This window comes from Homo sapiens, chromosome 16 (genome assembly GCF_000001405.40).
Source record: "Homo sapiens chromosome 16, GRCh38.p14 Primary Assembly".
NCBI classification, from domain to species: Eukaryota; Metazoa; Chordata; class Mammalia; order Primates; family Hominidae; genus Homo; species Homo sapiens.
Window position 1 is genome coordinate 32,665,320 of NC_000016.10, and position 16,848 is coordinate 32,682,167.

The window sequence follows — 16,848 nt, forward strand, 5'->3', positions numbered from 1 at the left end:
AAGGAAATGGTGAGAATCTTCAGCACAACGGATCACATCACCCTGGCAGAGACCAGTCCGGCCTGCGCATGGCACCAGCAGCCGCAGGCTAGAGGCAGTCATGTCAGGCCTCCTCCATACAGCATCTCTCCTGCTTTTTTTTCAAACGGTCCTAATCACTTAATTTGGTCATCTTCCCTGTCACAATGGGGCACCTGGCGCTATAGACACTTGGGAAACACACAGATCTGGGGTCCTACAGTGTCCAGGTGAAGACGCCGGGAGTCAGAGAGGAAAGTCTTTTGAAGCCTCCAAAAGGAATGCACAGGACCCCACTTGAAGAGGTGGAGTGCCCAGTGGCGGATACAGGCCCCACACATCGCAGCAGTAAACAGGTAAGGCGCTCCCTGGCCCATGCCTGTTTCCTGGAAACTGAAGCCATGCCCAGGCTGGGAGTCACCATTCCAGAAACAGAATAAGCTGTTGGGCTGGCTACCTCACCCAGCACCCGGCCACGCCAGAGAGAATCTTGGATGCTGCTTTCCCACAGGCTGTAGTGCCTTCCAAGTTAGGCCACCCTAATAACAGTTCTCCCACAGGGACTCCACGGTGTCCAGCTCTCCAGCCTGGGGTTTCTCATCACCCAGTGATTCCAAAAGAAAGGATCTACAATGGCATGACTAAGTTCCAGAAACAAATAAACAAAATACTGAGGGAAGCCCGTTGGTCACTTTGATTCTTCAAAGGTGACAATTGTCCCTCCCTGAAATCTTGTGAGTGCATGAACAGGCTATTCTAATGTAAATGAAATTCACACTAAAACTGATTGAAAGATGATTCTGTTTCCAAGGTACTTTGTATTCTCAAATTGCACCTGCTTACCCTGGCCCCCTCAAAATGGAAGAGTGATGACTATTTGTCTTCGTAGCACTGTGGGGACACAGAGCCTTAAATGGAAGAGTGTCAAAAGCAACATTCCATAAAGGGCTGTCACTTCCAATTTTCAAGCAAGGTTGGAAACCAACCATGATGTATGAAACACTGTTGGCCAAAGTGCACAATTAGTAATACAAAATGAATAATATAAACTATTGTAAATATGTGTGGACATCGTGGCAATTTGGACATCAAAAAACACTGCCAAATTCAGAAAGAGGAAGCTGTAAACTCATGGCTGTTAGGAAGCTTAACTTCTGTGTACTAGAACCTATCAAAATTAAATTTCTCCATGTCAATCCGTCCAAACAAACATTGAGATGTTTATTTCTATATAATTCCTATTGAATCCTACTGGGCAGGACCCTTCTGGCCCCATCCTCACAGCACTGGTGCAGTGAAACTGCACTTGCTCCTGCTTCCCCCTATATTGTTAGGAGTGGAAATATTTAGTAACAGGGTGGATTGGGAGGCTACTGAGGCCTCCTGCGTGGGTGGGTCAGGTCTCCTGCAGCCCAAACCTTTTTACAATAAATAAGTTATAGGTAAAATTAGAAAAAAATTAAAAAATGGAACTCATTCTGTTTCTTTGCTCACCACAAAGAGAAACACAGCATCTAGAGATGTCTGTTGGAGCCAGGCTTGTCCTGGGAAAGTAAGAAGTGCTGAGCAGGAGCCCTGGGGATGGAGGGCAGGTGAGATGGGGCTCCCAGGAAGATGCAGCCAAGCCTGGCTCACTCAGGCTGGCAGGGGCCCTCTGAAGTCCAGGAAAGTTGGTCCAGGACACTGAAACTCAAGTGACTCATCTGGGCCAAAGATCTGACCAGGTCGCACTGAATCTCATCAGCCCTGCCAACTGGAGGTCTGATCAGCCTTGAAGATCTTGCTCACTGGAGGCAGACAGCTGGTGGATGGGTCAGGAGAGCTGCCTACTGCCAATGTAGGAGTGCACTCAGTGTAGGCCCGCTGCCCCACTCAGTGGCCTGGATAACCTGCTGAGGCTGCAGCTTCTTCCAGTTTTTGAGCAATAGGGGCATGCACCATTTCCGAAGGTTTTCAGGCAATCCCTGGTGACCTCTGGCAGGGGGTGGTTATCTTGGCAATCTCCAGCAGGGCCTATGGACTTGCTCCCAGGCAAAACCCAGCAATCCCTGTGCCTACCCAGGCACTAAGCATTTGTGGTGGGGCTTTCTGGAAGCTCGCCTTCTCCTGCTGGCTCTTCGTTTTCCCCACCCCGGTACTTCTGGCCATTCTCCCTGTCATCATCACAATGAGACAGCTGGGTGCTGGAGACTCAGAAACTGCCATGCAGACCTTGAGTCCTTCCCAGGCCCAGCCAACAGGGCAGAGAATCCAGGAGAAAAGTCATTTTCACCTCCTGAAGGACCAGAGCTGACCAGGCACCTAGAAGCTGTGCCCCACTGCAGGCTGCCGGTGGAGCTCATGACAAGGCCGGAACAAGGCCGGAACGTGAAGCACTCCCTTGTCTGTCCTTTTTTCCTGAAGGCTGGGGCTTGCCCGGCCAATGTCACCCTTCAGGACAGGGAATCAGAGCTTTGCATGGCTGCCTTACCCCACCAGGGCAACGCCACAGAGAATCATGGCTGAGGCTTTCCTGTGGGCTGCAGTGCCTGACCCTTTAGGGTCCCCACAAAAACACCTTTCCTGCAAATAATCCACCGTGTCCTGCTTGCCAGCCTAGGCTTCCTCATCAGTTGGTGATTTCAATGAAAACAAACTACAGTGGAATGAACAAGTTCTAAATCAGGAACACACAAAGAATCTGTGGAAAGTCCATTTGTCATCTAGATTTTTAAAAGATACACATTTTCCCTTCTTGTTATATTCAGTAGTGCATGAAGCCAATATTATAATAGATGTGCAACTCACACTAAAGCTGACTAAAGGGTGAATTCTTATTCTAAGGTACTTTGTGGTCTCAAATTTATCTGTTCCCACCCCCAGGACCCCATTAAAACTGAATAATTGTCATTGAGAGCAGATGTAGAAAGAAACTAGCTAGGCAGATAGAGCAAAGAGTTCTCAACAGAACGTCCCTTCTAACAGAAAGCAACCCAGGAATTCACTTCTCTTTAACAAAGAGCAGCCTGGAAAATTGGGCTGCAATCATACAAAAGGAAGCTGGAAGCTTGTGTGGGCAGGGATGCCTGCAGCTGCATGGGTAGAAATGACCACCTTGGGCCAGACATATCCAACATGGGGGGCCCCACCCCTCTTTGTAGCATATGCACAGTAGAAAAGAGATAAGCAACTTGGAGTAGCTCAGGCTGAGAATCTGCCTGCATAATAAAAGGTTGGGGTGTGAGCTGCCAGAGATTCATGCTCTAAGCAGATGACACACCTGGTCCTAACCACTTTTTCATGCCCTATGTGGATAACATACCCCCTCCCACTAGCTCATCTATAAAAACACTTGTATTTCACTGCAGAATGGCAACTCTTTTTTTCTGGATCCCTCTCTGCAGCAGAGAGCTGTTCTCTTTTTCTCACCCATTAAACTTTTGCTCTAACCTCACCTTTGGCATATCTGTGTCCTTGGTTTCCTCGGTCCTGACACCAAGAAGTTCAGGTGTAACCCCAGAAGACACGGCCAGTTTATCATGACTTGTCTCATTGCCTCTTGGGACATAGAAACGTCAATGAAAATGTGTCCAAAAGGACATTTCATAAAGTGCTCTCTCTTCCAATCTTCAAGCAATGTGGGACTATCCATCATGTATAAAAAACTTGTGGCTGAAATGCACAATTTCTAATACAAAAATGAATGCTATAAATTACTCTATGTATGTGTATTATGGCCATTCAGACATCGTCACACATTGCCACATTTAGATAGAAGAACCTGTGAACTTGTGGCTGTTAGGAAGCTTAACTTGTGCATACTGTCACCTATGAAAGTTAGTTTTCCCTGCGTTTCTTGAAACCAACCTTGAAATGTCCATCTTGTACACAATTTCTATTTATCCCCAGTGAGGTTCACCCATCTGGCCCCGCCCTTACAGCCCTGGTACCAATGGAATTGCACTTGCTTATGCTTCTTCAAATTTTCTTGAGGTCATAAACATTTAGTGACAGAGTGGAATGAGAAGGTACTGAAGCAAGGGCTGATGCCTTCTGGGTAGATGGGTAGAGATCTCCTGCAGCCTGGACATCTTCAAAATAAGTAGGTTATAGGTCAATTTAGAGAAAAAAATAATACTCTTTCTTTGAACACCACAAAGAGAAAAGCGCTGGATCTAGATGTGTCTGTGAAGCCAGGCTTGTCCTGGGAAAGTGAGAAGAGCTGAGCAGGAGCCCTGGCAATGGAGGGTGGGTGAGATGTGGTCCCCACGGAGAGACCGCTAGGGTCAGGGCTTGGTACAGTGAGGCTGGCAGGGACCTTCGGAAGGCAAGGGAAGATGGCCAAGGACACAAGGCTGAAGCAACCCATCTGAGCCAAAGATCTGTTTAGGTCCTTCTGAATCTCAGCAGCCTTGCCAAGGAAGGCATGATTACCCATGGGTATCAGAGACACTGGAGGCTGGCAGCTGGCGGGTGGGCCAGGAGGCCTGACTACTGCACAGGTGTGATTTCACTGGCAGGCCAACTGCAGGGAGTGGATAAAGAGAGAGCTCTGTGTGGGAATCTCTCTCGGTGGATCATCGAAGAGGTGAAGTCTTCTTCATAGCCTCAAACCCAATTTGTGGGATAGCAATTCCAGTGAAGCTGGGACAAGCTGGCACTGCTCAACCAGGCCTCCCAAGATACCAGGTTTCTTTCCACCACAGCTGGGCCTGGATTGGGATGTGAACATCTATCCCAGAGTCCAGAGGATGGGACCCTGGTCAGTGATGGTGCTGGTGTGTGGTGTGAAGCCAGGTAGGGCAGACTCTTCAGGTGGGAGGAGAAGACAGCCTCTCCTGTGGGCTCCTGGGCAAGTCAACACCCTCTTTGGGCCTGTCTCCTCAACTGGAAAATGCAGAAAGCCTGTTGTGCAGGCCTCACAGGGTCATGATAAGGGGCAAAGGATGAAGGAAACTTCAGAATTCTTGTGCCCACCTCTTCCTGAGAGGGATGATGGTGAGAACAATGGTGATAGCCACATGCAACTGAGTCCTCAGGAGGTACTGTGAGGAAGGTGTTGTTCTCATCACACTTCCTAGATGAAAAAACAGTTTCAGGAAGGCCTGGCTGCATGCCCAAGGTTACACACACAGTGAGTGTTAAAGCTGGGAGTAAATCTAGAATCAGGACTCACTGGAGCTGGTGGGAGCATTACACCGGCTGACTCAGGCAGTTATCCAAGATCTGAGGTCGCTGGGGCTGGAGTGTAACTGTGAGACAGGCACAGTCTCACTGACCCTGTTTCTGACTCTACTAGGTAGGAACCTTTTTAAAGAGTCCAGATGGGGCTGCAGCAGCAGGTGAATTGGCCTATGGTAGGGAGGGGCTCCAGAGAGTCAAGGACAGGGCTCCTCCCTCCCAGCTGGAGTTCTCCACATCAAGAGACCTGGGTGTCTTCCTCCTCCAGCCCTGCCCTCCTGTGGCCACAATGCTTGGAATGCCTTCATTAGAGAGACTAGAGAAAGGGCCTGGGAGAGCTAGGCTCAGAGTAGATTAGACGAAGAGTGAGGGTGGGGACGATCTGACTTTGTGATTTATTAAAATCACACCATAGAGGTAACTAAGAAGTGCTTAGCGTCTTTGGAGGTCAGCTGTGGAAAGAGGAGGGAAAGATTTTGGGCAAGGAGGTGAAAGGTCCTTGGATGCTCTGAGTGAGAGACTTGGGTACGGGGGTCAAGGAGAAATAGGTTGGTGAGAGTTCAAAGGAGAGGTCTTGTGCAGTTAGCTGAGAATTGGTGCTCATCACTGCTACCACCTTGATAACACAGGCTGCTGTGCCCCCACTCCCCTCCCCCCCACCCCCCACCCCGGGCACACTTCTCAACAACCTGCAGATGCTGGAAATTGCCATAGAGGATTATAGAGATGTGAGTGAGACTGGGGCAGGCAGGCAGGGTGGGGACCAGGATCCTGAAGCTTGCGAGGACAGAGTCCTGGACTGAATCCTGAGACTGCAGCACTCAGCAAACCCCTTTCCTGAGAGCCTACCAGATGCCCCTGTAAATGGCAGTGTCAGTTCCGTCTTATCTATGAGTGACGGAGCCTCCAGCAAAGACACCATTTCCTGTTCCTTGAGTAGTAAAGCTGCAGAGCTAAGTCTCAGCCTCTGCCTTAGCTGGTACCCATTGCAGAAGAGAGAAATTGGGCCCCTCCTAAGACAGGCAGGTCCTAAATTGTTGAGTAACTTCTTTGTTTCCAAGGCCTTTGTCTCCCTATCATCACAGAGAATCAGGGAGAAAGGTCACTGAGCCTCAGTGTCCCTTCTGTGGAGCCCAGAACCTGATGCAGGTCTAAGTCCTGTTTTATGCACATGCTCTGACCCTGGTGGCCCTGGTGGTGGTGCAGCATAGGAAGTATAAGGGATGAGGTCTAGTCCTGTGTCAGGAAGCCTTTCTCATGAATCTTGGCTGTCTACCTCCTAAGAACATATAATCAACACTAATAAAGGAAGAAGGTGAGCAGCTGGCGCTGTCGCTTTGAGGGAGGGTGGGGATGTGAAAGTCAGACACCACCCTGAGGAAGACACTCCTTGGCTCCATCCTCTGCATCTTAGATTTATTGGGAAGGTTTGATACACAGAGAAGCAGGAGCCCCATCCCAATGGAGGGTTTGATTAGGGGAATAGAATCAATGATAAACTCCTAGAGGAGGGACTGTTTATATCCAACTCTTGAGAACAGGTTGGGGCTACATGGGATTGGAGGGGAGGGTAGGACCCCTTAAAAGAAAGGCCCTAGAAATTGTCCCTACCCCTTCACACCCCCACAAGTTCCCTTTGTCATCTTCCACCCAGGACCTGTCAGAATCCTGCCCTTCCTTCTGTCTCCAGATCAAAGTCCTCCAGGAAATGCAGCTGCTTCAGTGACAAGAGATAATCGTCATCTTCTGACTGAGGAGGAATTTGGGGTTTGGTTCCAGTGCATGAAGCTGCACAGTCAGAATAAAAGATGAGGGCCTAGCAGATTAGCAAAGACTAGGAGAAGACTCTATCTTGTGGCCAGCTTCAGAGAACCTGGGGCCATAGCTCCCTGGTCAACATTAGGCCTGCTGCATGGGGACCCTGGGCAGGCAGTGGGAAGCCTGAGGTGTGGCTCCTGGTAGCCTCACAGCTGCCACTATTTTCTGAAGCTCCTCCTACTTGTTTTGTCAGACGGGCCCCTATTCCAGCAGGCCAGCAACACCCTCAAGACCAAGAACAGGCCATGGTGAATCTCAGGGCCATTGAGTGCCTGGGCTGGCAGGGGCAGAGTGCCTCAGGGCTCAGTGACATTTGGCCTGAGTGTTGGCTTTGGGAGTCAGACAGCTGCACTGGGCTCCCAGCTTCACCATGACCAGTAATGTGTCTGGGGCCGGGGCCTCACTGCTCTAAAACTTGAGACACCATAGTGATAAATTTTACACACCCTTCTAACTGCTTTTTCTTTTTTATCTGTCTTTCTCTATAATCACCATGTACTACTGATCTCTGTTTATTTAAATTAATAAGCATGTTATACAGTGTGTATTATTCTTCCTCGTGACTTCTTTACTACATTGTATGATTCCACTCATATGAGGTACTTACAGTAGTTCCATTCATAGAAACTCAAAGTAGAAGAGTAGTTCCTAGAGGCCAAAAGGAAGGTAACGGGAACAGAGTTTGAGTTTTGCAAAATGAACAAATTTCCCTATGAATGTGGATGATGGTTGTAGAACAATGTGAGTATGATTAATTCCTCTGTCCTGCACTTTTAAAAATTGTTAAAATGGTTAATTTTATGTATATTTTACCACAATGTAAAAAAGGACTTTTTTAAATGAACAAACTGTAGATATCTGTAACAGCATAAATATCACAAATATAATATTGCATTAAAAAATTGATGTAAAAGTATCCATACTGTGTAATTTTTTATATTACACTCAAAAATCAAAACTGAGGTTCTGGCTTCCACTAATGATGAAGTAGCTAACTGAACTAACACTCTCACACAGAAAAATGATGAATCCTGGGTAAATTATTATATATCATTATAGAAACATTTCTATATACAATACATACATGAAATATGTGTATATAAAAACTGAATGCATATTTTGGCTATGACTTCCATAGGAGAGATAAGTATTGAAGATAGAATCCAGCCCATTTAACACCATCTTTTAAAAACAACACTCTTCACAGGGACAAAACAGAATCCAGTCTTTTTAATCCAGTCTTGTATACAGTCTCCAGGGCACAATTTCCAATTCAAGGGATGCGTGAAGACACGTGAAAATGTAATAAATACACAAGATAAAAAGCAGGCAGTAGCCATCTCCAAGATGTCCAAGATGTAAACGGCAGACAAGAATTTGAAGGCAGCTATTATAAACACGCTCATGAGGGCAAAGGAAAATATTCTCATAAATGAATAGATGTGAAACATCAGCAGAGAAAAAATAGCCATATAAAAAATGAGAAATAAAAATAATAATTTTGAGCTTTTCTATAGTTCAGAAACAGAGACATAGCAATATAATTTATCCAATCTGAGGAGAGGAAAAAAAAAAGAAGTTTAAAGAAAATGAACAGAGCCTTACAGACCTGTGGGATGACTGAGTCTGAGAAAAGGTGAGAGATAGAAAAAATCAAATGGAGTATAAAAGTAAATCAACAAAATTTAAAGAAAATAAACACAGCCTTAGAGACCCATGGAATTATTGAGCCTGAGGAGAGGAGAGAGACAGAAGAATTAGATGGGTTGGAAAAATAAATCAATAACTAACAGCTGCAAACTTGCAAAAATTGTTCAAAAACCTATTTTTTTTTTTTTAATCTAAAGATCCACGAATCCCCCACAAAAGTACAAATAAAACCATACCAAGGCCATATTGCAATTTAGGAAAGCAGCAGGCAGGACTTTCAATTGACTTGATATGATTTATCATTTTTACTATTTGTAAGAATGGAAATAAGTTCTTAGAGTTTTGGTCTTGGAGAAAGTCTGACGTTAAGGACAAACGACAGTTATTAAAGGCAGATGACTTTCCAGACTTGTCTTAAATGTTCCATTCTTCACCTTAGAACTTATTTAAATTTGTTTCTTCCAAATACTGCAGTAATATTGATGCTCCAGAGAGATGTCCCACGGAGATTCTGCTCTTGTGCGTCTGCCCTGCACGGAGCTGAGGCAGTGTCTATCAGTTTCAGAAGCGAGTAGTCGTGCAGTACTTAACCTGAAAAACTTAATGGAAACATGAATTAAGAGAATGATCACTGTTTAGTTCTATCAGAAAACTATTAAAAGTGGTCCAAGGGGGTATTTAAAAAGAGATATTAAAGTATTTTCCAAGGGAGCCCTATTCAGGGTAGAAGCGCAGACACTATCCCTGACCTCACCACACAAACTACCCTCATGTGTTGGGAGGGACCAAGGGGCGCTCTGGTCCTGCTGACCTGCATTAATCACGGCCCGGAGGTCCACACTAAGACCCTGAGGCCTGGGAAGCAGCCTGGGTGGGGTCAGAGAAGCGGTGGATGAGGCTCCACAGCAGCTCCCAGGGTCCCATCCCCGTAGCTGTTTCCTTAGTGGATGCAGCAGGGTCAGGCCCTTCCGCTGTGACGTTTTCTCCTCTTTATTACACTGGTGGGAAAGTCTCCGTGAGAGGCCCGACCTAGATATGGACCACGCAGCGAGCCCGGGGGTCCAAGCGGCGCTCCTGGGGTGCAGAGGATTTGTGACAGCCTAGAGAACAGAGGAAATGGTTTTGAAAAGGCAAATGGCAGGTGACTAGGGACACGATGTTTTCACTTCTGGCAGTCAAGTGACAGTTTCAGACACTCATGAACGGGCTTCTCGAGGGGATCCCAAGGAGCCTCCAGGTCGGCCGCCATTACCCTACACCTAGGGACGGGCTGCACTGCGCATTTCCGAAAGGGCAGGCCCCTTAGCCCCACCCCTAGGAATGGGTGCACTGCGCATGTGTGAAAGGGCAGGACTTTTATCCCGCCGCTAGGGACGGGCTACACTACCCATGTCTGAACGGGTGTGACAAGAGGGAGGAGCGAGAAGGGACGGGGCGGAGCGGGAGATGGGCAAGAATAGGGGCGCGGTGCGGCCAACGTCCGGCGGAGGATCGTTACCACGGCAACGCTGCTGTGGAGGCCATGAAAGGCGAACGGCCCTTTGTTGGCTGACAGGAAATCGAGACACTCGTGAGGGGGCTTCTTGAGGCGATCCCAAGAGGCCTGAGAACTGCCACATCCGCGGCCCTTAACCCAGCCCTAGGGACGGGCCGCACTGCGCATGTCTGAAAGGGAGTGACAAGAGGAGGAGCGAAGGAGGGTGGGGCTGAGGAGGAGGCGGGGTGAGAAAAGGGGCGGGTCGCGCCCCACCCTTGTCTGAGGAGCGTTACCTTGACAACCCTGCCGCGGAGGCAGTGAGAGGCCACCGGCCCTTTGTTGATCTGCAAGGTATCAAACTTCGAACATGACAAGCATAAAAGCCTGCAGCTCGAGGAGACAGGGTGTCACAATTACCAGGTGAAACTAGCCGCCCTAGCTCCAATGTCTCTTCAGCAGGAGAGATTTGGAAACAGCAAGGCTCCTCTCCGCAGGGCGAAACTGCTGGGCTGCGAAAGGCGGGACAGGGAGCGGAACCGTCTTCAACCGTTCCGGGAGTTCTGGTGTCTGGTCCGCTCCCGGCTGTTGGTCGCAGGGCAGAGGGTCTAGGATGCCAGCTGGCTGCGGGCTGGGAGATGCAGGGTGAGGCGCGCATCGCGGTGCATACTGGGAGTTGTAGTCTCTCCACCGTTCCCCACGGTGGATGGTGGGGCTACAGGAGGACAATCCCAGATTGAGACAGGAGCGGAGGCGGGGCGCGGCCGTGCAGGGAGGGGGAGGGCGGTGTAGGCGGCTTCGTTTACCAAGCTTGCTGGCCATTGATTTCATGCCAAACCCTCGCCAAGGGGATTAAATCAGGAGAGGAACTTGAAGGGCAGGCCTGGTCTCGCCAGTGAGGAGGATGTGTTGTTGGGAAGTGCACCCCGCCTTTGCCTAAATCGAGAGTGTCTGGTCCTCACTCACGCGACTTCGACTTCCAGCTGCTCAGCTCGATTTTCTTTCCCACTCGCACCCGAGTTCTTTCCAGAGCGTCCCACCTCCTCCAGCCCATGGAGCCGTCTGCTTTCATAAGTGGCTGTGGAAACTGGTCTGAGGTCCCAGACGCTGTCACTGTGCTGCTGCCCTCCGCTCTCTCCAAGCAAAGCACAAGCTGAGCCGCCTTGGAAAGACAACCACGGCCTGGCCTGGGAATGCGCAAGTTCAGAGCTTTGCAGGGAGTGACCATGGGCTGTGGCTTCGTGAAAATGTCACGTTCACCAGTACCCTTTTTGCGGATGTGGCCGTGGAGCCATGAGGGGGGTAATCACTGGGTTACAAAGGTGCTGCTAAGAGCGGAGGAGAAAAACCCAATTCCCAGCCATGTGTCTGGTATGACATTTCACCAACCCATTTAAGTGTGCAGGCCTCCAAATATCTACCTAAAGATTATGATAGATTAGGCATTTTACACTAAAAATCTGTGGCTTCGTGTCCACTAAAGCCTGACTGACCAGTGCCTAAAAGAAACAGACGATAACCTGATCCCTCAGGAACAGATGGTGTTCTAGCTTTGTGGAAGTGAATTTCAAGGTATGGAGCACTTGAGGGGTCTTTGAAACCTGCCAGGTCTCACATCTCTGCTTTTGGTGAAAAGCTCATCAACTAACAGTAGTCAGGAATGTGCCTTTACTTCCTGGGGCTGGTCTGTTGAAATTTTGTGTGTGGACAATGGAAACATCCAGGAGCATTTCTGCTTTCCTATAGCCTCTTAATAATTGATGCCCTAAAGTCCTATATCCTTTGATTCCTGGATGGTACCAGATTTCATGCTGTTAAATCTAATCTGCAAAAACCTGAGCGTTAATCTCCATGAATAGAAGAACTTGTTGTTTCTTATTTAAATGCTCTTTTTTCTCTTGTCTTAGATTCTGAGCAGGATTTCCAATACGGTGTTGAAAGAAGTAGTGAGAGTGGGCATCTTTTTCTTATAATAAATCTTAAAAACAATTCCAAAATTTCACCATTGACAATAATGTTAACCATGGGATTGTCCTATAGCTTATAAAGAACATATCTCTTTATTTTGAGGTATATTCTTTCTATACCTAATTTGTTATAGATTTTATTTGGAATGGATTTTAAATTTTGTCAAAATAATTTTAGGCATGCATAAAAAAGTCATGATTTTTAATCTTTTTGTTGTGTAAATAAGGAGTATGGCATTTATTGATTTCCACATATTAAAATATTATTGCATCCCAGGAATAAATCCAACTTGATCATAATAAATGATCCTTTTAAAGTGCTTTTGAATTTCATTTGCAACTACGTTGCGGATGATTTTTCATCTATGTTCATCAGGGATATTGGCCTGTAATTGTTTTTCTTGTAATGTCCATCTCTGGTTTTTGTATCAGTGTAATGCTGGCTTCATAAAATGAGTTTGGAAGTATTCCTCCTCCTTCAATTTTTTCAAAGATTTGGTTCTTTTTAAATGTTTAGTAAAATTCAGCAACAAAGTCATCAGATCTAAACTCCTTACCCATTACTGATCTATTCATATTTTCTATTTCTTTATGCTTCAGTCTTGGTGGGTGGTACTTGTCTAGAAATGTATTCATGTCTTCTCCCTTATCCCATTTGGTGGGATATCATTGTACATAGGAGTCTGTGTACATAGCAGTCTTATGACCTTTTTTTATTTCTGTTTTACCAGTTGTAATGTATTCCCTTTAATTCTGATTTTATTTATTTAAGCATTTATTTCTTAGTCTAGCTAAAGATATGCCAACTTCATGTTTTCATAAAACAAGCTCTTACAATTTTTCTACATTTTCTATTGTTTTTCTAATCTTCAGTGTATTCATTTCTGCTCCGATTTTTTTTACTAATTTTATTATCTGGGAACGTTGGGATAAGTTCTTCCTCCTCTAGTTTCTTGAGTTGTGTCATTATTTGTTTATTTGTGATCTGTTTTCTCTTTGGTTGAAGGTGTTTACTGCCACTCCATTTCACTGGGATTAGCACCCATATGCATTGTGGTCTTTTTGTTTGAGTTCATCAAACTTCTGATCCTAAGTCTGCACCTTTAGCATACTGGTAAGCAGCAGTGCTAAAAGCCTACACGATGAGTAGGGGATTTAGGATGAGAGAATTACCCAGTAAGTTTTGGGAGGGACTAATATTAAGTTATCTTTCTCTTTTTTATTTCTCATCAGTGCCTGAACCATAAGGCACAAGGAATGAGCCCCTCATCGTGAGAGTGCATGTGACAGGAGCAAAGGAAGCGGCAGCTCAGGAAAGACAAGGTCACTGTTCTTGCTCCCATGACGGTAGCACTTGTTAGAGCAACTGAGTGACGTGCATAATTCTCTCCAAAGTAAAAGTCCTTTTTGTTTTTTGCAATTTTACAAAAAACCGTCCCTGGGCCTTTCCTGAGAGTGTGCAATAATAAGCAATGTTCATATGACTACCCGGGCATTTAGTAATGGTAAGCAGACCAGATGAAGTGACCACAGGGATATAGCCTGACTCTTGGTAATCAGGACTGAAGTACTCACTGATTAAGGTTCTGTGTTTTCACTGCCTTGAAAGGCAAGTGTCTTGCAAGCTGCATGCCAAACAAAGGCTAAATATGATGACACATCAGGCTGCAGCAGAGTCAACTGACCATATATGTCTAGGTGATGAGTGTGCTTTAATGTGGTCAGGGAAGGCAACTCATGATAAAGGCCACAAATGGCTATTTAGACCAAAGCAAAAGCCCACCAGAAACTGGTGGCTCTGACTGAGGTGACTTTTAATGTATCATGAAATCAGTAGGCCAAAAGCAGTTAAAGTTGAGCCGATGTCCTTAGTCATAGTTGGTTAATCCAGTTTGTATTGTGAATTGTTTGATTAGCCTCCCCTTTACCCCATTGGTGAGGGATAAATTACCACCCTTGTACTACTGGAACAGTTAAAACCATGGCACCAATCATTGGACAAATGAGATTGACAGCAGTTATTCGTTACATATAATCATGGAAGAAGGAAATTATATAAGGTATACAGACCCACACAGGGATTGCACTTGGGAGCAGAGAGAACAAACAGGGGGTGTTGGGGAAGGCTTTGTAGTATCAAGAGGGTGAGATGCACCTGGTTCCCACAGGAAGTTGTTATTGGTTGGTCTGGATAATTCTGTGACCTTGGGAGAAACTGAAACACATTATACTACCAATTGCTAAGACTACAATAACATACTATAATAGTGTAATGCTATAATGTACCATATACTGTAATACTAATGACAGTATGTTCTCCCTTTTTTGATAGATTCTCAGAAACTGTGACTTTAAGTAAAACAATGTACTATATAATAAAACCAATTTTACCATTGGCTAATTGATATAAACAAGAGTTAATTTTCCATGGCATATAGTATTTTGTTTCACTTAAAGTCAGTTTCCAGGGACCTATCAATGATGTTAAGTGAGCACTTACTGAACATGTATTTTAGTGATGTGTAATAGAAAGTAGCTATAAAAAATATACTATTCATGTACAAAACTACATGTGGCACACATTACAGTCATGAACCACATAACAATGTTTGAGAAATTGACAGACTATATATATGAGGGTGTTTTCTTGTGAGTATATATATATATATATAAACCTACCTTTAAAGGCCAAAGGAGCTGAGAGTTTGAAGAATGAGGCTGACAAATCAAGTTTCTCAGAAAGAAACATTTAAGAGGAACATTTATTAATAGAAGCTATGTCTCAGATAGCTGAAGATGGTGGAACCTCACACTGTGACCCCCTAAACCCAGACACTTATCACAGGAAAGGGAATGTGAAGGACAATTGAAATCACTATATAAATTTGCCTAAGGGTAGGATTTGTGCTAAGTACCTGTTCACAATAGCATCAGGGTTGTTTTGATTTAAGGGTAGGGCTTATAGAACTGTAGGTTTCAATATATGACATAGGTATTTGAAACCCTCACCAAAAAACATTAGAGGAAGTAACTCTGTCATCATTTTAAGTTTCTTTTTTTTTTTTTTAGTAATTTAAAATCTTAAAGTCTGGTTATGTTAAATTAAGTAATCTTAAGTTTCTCACTAAAAATTAGTATTGCTAAGCATTAAAAGAATAGTTTTAAGACAGTTTTTACCCCAGCACTAGTGATTGGATAATACGGCCCCAGGCCCCACCCCTTCAGGTTCTGAATGAGAGAAGATGTGAGCCAACTCGTAGCCAGATGACAACAGGGTAAAATGTTCCAAGCCGCAGCCTTTTTCAGGCAGGACTTCCTCCTTATGCTGAAGCCCGGCCTTCACTGTGGGATATTTGCATTTAACCTTGTATATAAGGTTATTTTTATTTATAAGTTGTATATATGTGGCCAGGCATAGTGGATCTCACCTTTAATACCAGCACTTTGGTAGGCTGAGGGGACAGAAGCTCTTGAATCCAGGCGTTTGGGACCAGCCTGGGCAACAGAATGTGAGGGCCCCACATCAAAACTTTTCTACAAAAAAATGAAAAAATTAGCCAGGCATGGTCACACGTGTCTGTGGTCCCAGCTACTTGGGAGGCAGAGGTGGGAGGGTCACTTAAGCCTGGGAGGTAGAGGCTGCAGTGAGCTGAGATCAGGCCACTGCACTGCAGCCTGGGTGACAGAACAAGATTCTCTCTTTCTTTCTCTGCCTTATTTGTGTGTGTGTGAAGGGGGAGGGGTGTGTGTGTGTATTATTCAAAATAGAAACAAAATAATAACAATTATTTTTATTTTTATTTACATTTTTTTGAGACAGAGTCTCACTCTGTCACCCAGGCTCGAGTACAGTGATGAGATATTGGCTCACTGCAACCTCCGCCTGCCAGGTTCAAGTGATTCTTCTGCCTCACCCTCCCAGGTAGCTGGGATACAGGCACCCACCATGTTGCCCAGCTAATTTTTGTAGTTTTAGTAGAGACATGGTTTCACCATGTTGACCAGGCTGGTTTCGAACCGAGGTCAAGTGATCCGCCTGCCTCGGCCTCCCAAAGTGCTAGCATAACAGGCATGAGCCACCATGCCCAACCAATTACAATTATTTTTAATTTTTAGATTTTACAATCTTTCTGGCCTCTTGGCTTTTGAGGCAAACTGAGCTTTGAAATTAGGCAATCCTCTATTGCACCAATGTGCAATAGAAGTAAAATGTGAGCCACATGTGACAATTAGAATTTGCTAGTAGCAGCATAAAGAAAAAGAAAAATGAGTGAAATTGATGTTAACAACATAGCTCAATATATCTGAAATATTTTAACATATAATCAGAATGAAATAATTAAAGAAACATATATATGTGTACATATATACGTACACACACATAGACATATGTTTCTTTAACCCAGCATTATATATTTTTATGCACATATGTATATGTAACTAAATATTTAAATATTTTCTTGTATTTCTCCCCAGCATATCTTAGTTCATGCTGGGCACAATACAGTTGTTCAGTAGCCCCTGTGCCCAGTGGCTGCCACATTGCAAGTGCATCTCTGAGGGCTCTGACTTTTCTGACCTTAGGGAGGTTAAAGGGCCTGAATCCTCCTTTTCTGCCAGATAGGAGTGAATGCCCCTTCTCTGCCAATATCACTCCTGTTTAAAGGATAAGAGAGGTGGTGCCCTGAGAGACAGTAGGGCCTACAAGAAACAAGTGTTCACAGGTAGAACACTGCTGTCCACTTTTGCTTGGTGTGGACT

At 45.3% G+C, this 16,848-nt stretch overlaps 1 protein-coding gene across 5 annotated transcripts; it reads right to left on the minus strand.

Annotated features, from left to right (window-relative positions):
• Positions 1–8,210: 8,210 nt before the first annotated feature.
• On the minus strand, positions 8,211–10,846 carry TP53TG3 (TP53 target 3). 5 transcript variants are annotated; one of them, NR_110886.2, is made up of 4 exons: positions 10,417–10,846; positions 10,145–10,311; positions 9,458–9,746; positions 8,211–9,245 (listed from the first exon to the last, which is right to left on the minus strand). NR_110886.2 is itself a non-coding variant. In XM_011545779.2 (3 exons), the coding sequence occupies exons 1-2, from the start codon at positions 10,776–10,778 to the stop codon at positions 10,275–10,277; spliced, it is 399 nt and encodes a 132-aa protein (XP_011544081.1). In that variant the 5' UTR covers positions 10,779–10,846; the 3' UTR covers positions 8,211–9,237; positions 10,145–10,274. The 5 variants fall into 5 exon arrangements, 2 of the variants coding, with proteins under 2 accessions (XP_011544081.1, NP_057296.1); NR_158180.2 differs by lacking the exon at positions 10,145–10,311 and having other exon boundaries at positions 8,211–9,237; NR_110910.2 differs by lacking the exon at positions 10,145–10,311.
• Positions 10,847–16,848: the final 6,002 nt, after the last annotated feature.

Bases quoted from the DNA above. Each gene is read 5' to 3' on its own strand.
- TP53TG3 (XM_011545779.2), bottom strand. From the start codon at position 10,778: ATGCGCGCCTCACCCTGCATCTCCCAGCCCGCAGCCAGCTGGCATCCT. The intron at 10,312-10,416 runs GTAACGCTCCTC...ACTCCCTTTCAG, and splicing joins TCCGCGGCAGGGTTGTCAAG to ACATGCGCAGTGCGGCCCGT.